The 4,906-nt window shown below is 36.2% G+C and overlaps 1 annotated feature.

Annotated features, from left to right (window-relative positions):
* Positions 3,667 to 4,223: an enhancer, noted in NCBI's record as "NANOG hESC enhancer chr14:63033845-63034401 (GRCh37/hg19 assembly coordinates)". NCBI's record gives its function as "activates a minimal SCP1, AML or CMV promoter by ChIP-STARR-seq in naive H9 embryonic stem cells {active_cell/tissue: H9 hESC(naive)}" and the evidence as "EXISTENCE:reporter gene assay evidence [ECO:0000049][PMID:30033119]".

Genomic DNA, 4,906 nt, shown 5'->3' with positions numbered 1-4,906 from the left:
GAGTATATTAATATACCAATATGCATATAAACTCAGTTTATAAGAACCTGAACACTGAAAATATTTCATATTTTAATTTTGCATAGAAAAAATCATTTAAAGTCTTTGAGCAGAAAGGCAGTGTGATATATAGTTTACCGTAAAAAATGCTGTGGGTTGGGTTTCAAAATATGAAGATCTGTGTGGCCACAACATGTTTTTTTCATTTGCAGAATAGAAAAAAAATTCCTGCCTAAATAGTACCCAGGGTTATAAAACCATGTAATATGTGTAAGTGTTCTGATGACTGAAAAAAACACTACATAATGTGAAATATTACAGAGTCTTCTCTGTTCTCTCATTATAACAACTTGATTTTAGGACCTTGAAAATACTTCCCCAAATGTAATCTCATTTCTGAAAAAAGAAGCAGGAACAGGAATTAATATTAAAATTTCATAGGTATTATAGAATATATATATGTATGTATGTATAATCATGTGCTACATAATAACATTTCAGTAAATGACAGATCACATATACAGTAGTGGTCCCATAAGATTATAACACTGTATTTTTTTTTCTTTTTGAGACAGGGTCTTTCTCTGTCACCCAGGCTGGAGTGCAGTGGTGCAATCTTAGCTCACTGCAACCTCCACCTCCCAGGTTCAAGCAATTCTTGTGTCTCAGACTCCCAAGTAGTTCGGATTACAGATAATGAAACACTATGTCTGGCTAATTTTTGTATTTTTTGTAGAGATGGGGTTTTGCCACGTTGATCAGGCTGGTCTCGAACTCCTGGCCTCATGTGATCTGTCTGCCTTGGCCTCCCAAGGTGTTGGGATTACAGGTGTGAGCCACCGAGCCTGACCTATAACACTATTTTTACTGTACCTTTTCTATGTTTAGATAGACAAATATTTACCATTGTGTTACAATTGCCTGCAGTATTCAATACAGTAACATGCTGTGCAGTTTTATGGCCTGGGATCAATAAGGTACACCATATAGCATGGTGTGTAGTAGGCTATTCCATCTTGGTTGGTGTAAGTCCTCTTATGATATTTGCACAATGATGAAACTGCCTAATGGCATATTTCTCAGAACATATCCCTATAGTTGTGATGCATGACATATATGTGTGTACATGTATGTACATGTATAAATGTATGCACATGCTACCTATAGCCTGATAGAGATAGTAACACCAATTAGTTATAAGATTTTTCTCTTCTCCTTTTCTGCTCTTGCCTTCCTCTTGAGTGACTTCAACAACCAGGTCTCCTTCTCTAAACCTTATTCAGTCTCATTTCCAGTCTTTTCTTCCTGCTTCTATCTGCCTTGGCCCATCACCTTTAACTGCTGTACTTCCCAGTTTCTCAACTTTGTGGGCTTTCTTGTCATCCATCTCAAAACCTTCTGCATTTGTAAACATTCTCTCTACCTCACCATGGCAACCCATATACTTCAACTACGTGTTTGTCTTTACCCATCTTAGATCCTCTCTCTCACTCTTTATTTTCTCCTTTTCCAGGTTGTCTAGCCTTCCAGGGACATTCTCTTGTGTCCTTATTCCCACCCCCACCCCCACCCACCACCCAAAATCCCATTTTCCTCTACTTCTCACTCAATGTACTCTCTCATCCTAAATACTGAATGCCATAAACAGTCATCTCTGTTCACTGACTCTCCTTTCTCAGTTCTTTATTTCCCAACCCACAGCAGTTTGGACTTGGCTATCGCACTGTCTCTGAATCTTCTCTACCAGTTGTCAAAATGATCACATATTACTAAGACCAACTTCTTCCTTCTTCAGTCCATCTGACTTGGCTTCTCCATAGCCTGGACCACTACTTATCACTCCTTTCTGTATTCCTGTGAATACTCCCTTGATGACTTTGCTTCTTAAGCCAACTCCTAAATACTGGTATCTTCCCAGGTTCTCTATCTAGGATTGCTACATTTTTTTCCTTTGGACAGCATCCATCTACACCTAAATGGCTAACTCATAAATTCAATGCAGAGAACTCTCAGATCTACATCTCCAACCCTGGTTTCCCTTGACCCCTGATCAGAATTTCTAATAGTGGTCAAGACATCGTCATATGAATAGCTGACCAAAAACTCAAACTGCTAACAACCAATACTAATTCTATTTCTTCACATTACCGATATCTGCATCCTACCTCATTCTTACTTCCACTGCACTAATTTGAAACTTAATTACCTCTTGCCTCTTAAAATATTATTTCTTGCAACTACAGATGCTCCTTTCCCTATGTTGGGTTGCATCCCAATAAACCCATTTTAAGCTGAAAATATTGAGTTGAAAATGCACTTAGTACACTTAACTACAGAACATCATAGCTTATTAGCACAGCCTACCTTAAGTGTGCTCAGAACACTTAATTTACACTATAGTGGGGCAAAAGGCATCTCACACAAATATTATTTTATAATAAAGTTGTTGAATATCTCATGTATGTTATTAAATACTACAAGTGAAAAACAACGGTTGTATGGACAGTCAAAATATGTTTTCTACTGAATGTGTATGACTTTTGCACCATTGTAAAGTCAAAAATTCTTAAGTAAAGTCATCTTAAGTCAGGGGTTGGCTGTATTATGATAGCTTCCAAACTGGTCTTTCTGTCCTCAACATAGCCACAAGCATTATCTTACTAAAGCTTCATTAAAATCATGAACCTCTACTGCTCAAAACTGCTGATGTTTCCAAATTTTCTACAAAAATAAGGTCCACATTTGTTAGCATGATAGCGTATTCGAGGCCAGATTACTTCTTAGCAGAAGATTCATCTTAATCTTCTGCTAAAATATCCCCTTCCCCTACTCCCACCCCACACCGTATTATTGTTTGTCACTCTCCAAATTTTCTGGTCTCTGGGCTTTTCACTGTTTCTACCCATCTTTCTGCTGGATTATTCATTGTGCTTCACTAATCTTTCTTTACGTTGAGGCTGAGACCCAGATTCAACTATGATCTCCTTAAATGGTTCCCTAACTACCCAAGATGAATTTCATTTCTCTCTGTTCTGCACTTCCAGGACAAGTTCAGGTACTTGTTGAAAGTGTCCTAGAAGTGCAGAACAGAGAGATGAAATCCAACTGGGGAAATTAAGAAACCACTTGGACTTGAATTTTATTGTGTGTTTCTTTTCTCCATCAGATTCTTAGCTCTCTCAATGTAGGAAAAGTATCTTCTTTATCATTAAATTGCTTCATGGTATCCATGTCCTGTATAAGTAGAAATCGTACAAAATATATTTGATTTTTAAATGTTATTCATGGTAAAAATTTTAGTAACCCTGAGCAGTACCACCAAATGACCTCAGCAGATAATAACAACAGCCTGTTCACATGTGTGTAGAAGTGCTAAATGCTGGATTACAATGTTTTAGTTAATGTACATTAAAATTTCCTTATACATAGAGTTCTTTAGTTTTTTAGGTTCATATTAGTATTGTCAATTATAGCATTTAAATAATTGCTCAATAAATATTTGTCAAAAAATGTGAAAAGAATATATGGCCACAGAGGTTCATTTTCTTTACTTTTCGAAGAGTAAAAAATTATATTGCCAAGGTGAGGGTTAAAAGAAAAATTTTCAGCCTAAGTTCCAGAGAAGACAGCTCTCCTTTCACACCTGACTAATAAAGTGCTGCAGGGTTTGCTTCCAAGAACTGTTTTCCTTATCCCATAAGGCAGCTACTCTCTAGAGGATGGCTTCATTTTCTCACAGCTGTCATCTTTTAACCTTATTTTTAAAATCAGATCTATGGAAAAAAAACACCTGCTCTTCCAGCAGGTGCATGGGGACAGGCTTTAGTCAGAGCCAGCAGGAGTGGCTTCCCCAGCACCATCATTTCACATAGATTAGCCATGCCTGCAGAATGTGCCTTCACCATTCAAGTACCATTTAATCCAGAGTATGCATTTCAAAGCCAGTCCATTGTAACAATCACTGTTTGTGACATCCCATATAAGCCTAATTACTAAGTTGAAAATGCAGTGTATTTTGAGTTTCTGGTTAAGTCCAAGTTGTTTTTCTTGCAGCCACATCCTGCAAGACAGCAAGGGAACATTTCATTAGCAGTGAGGATGACTTTCATTTTTTCTTCTAATTTCGGCTTTTTGAAGAATTCTTCTTTGAATGAAAATGCTAGCAAAATTTGATTTCCATTTCAACTCGTTGTCACTTTGATTTATTTCTCTAAGCAACCAGTGAATGGGAACATAGAGCAAGCAATGAAAATTGCATCCCACTTTTTTTTTTTTTTTTTTAAAGATTTCTCTCTCATTTTGGCTTTGAGGAAGCTTCTCCAATAAGCAAAAAGTGTTGATGTATTGTAAGAATACTTGGTTAGTTCTGAAATCACAAAAGTCACTCATGGCAAGGGAATTTTACCTATTTTAATAATATATTTTGTTTCTATCCAGAGTGTGTGCATGTGTCTGTGTGTGTAGAGTATGTATATACCTATACAGAGTCAATAGATATATTCATATAAATTTATATATATTTTATGCATGTGTATATATTTATAATTTGTATGTATATATTCACACACGGAAACAAATTTATACTATCTTATATGTCAAACCAAATTTCAAATAAGTTAAAAGATAAAAGTATTTATTTGTTTTACCTTATTTTTAATTCTTCTTACAGTCTTTATTACTCATTGAAGGTCTTTACAAATCAGAGGGCAGGTAGAACAGACTTGGAAGTTAGAAAAAATATGGGTTACAACTCTGGTTATGTCACTTCCTGGCCCTTAAATCCTGGCCTTATTACTGTCCTCTCAGACTCAGTTGTTTGATTTATGAGGCTCATCCTATTTACTGCACAGCATTTTTATGAGGATTAATTGGTAGCATATGCAAAGAATTTAACACTAAACCTACA

This window comes from Homo sapiens, chromosome 14, assembly GCF_000001405.40.
Source record: "Homo sapiens chromosome 14, GRCh38.p14 Primary Assembly".
Taxonomy (NCBI): Eukaryota; Metazoa; Chordata; class Mammalia; order Primates; family Hominidae; genus Homo; species Homo sapiens.
The sequence above is the reverse complement of the archived record's forward strand: the minus strand, read 5'-3'. Positions and strand labels throughout refer to the sequence as shown.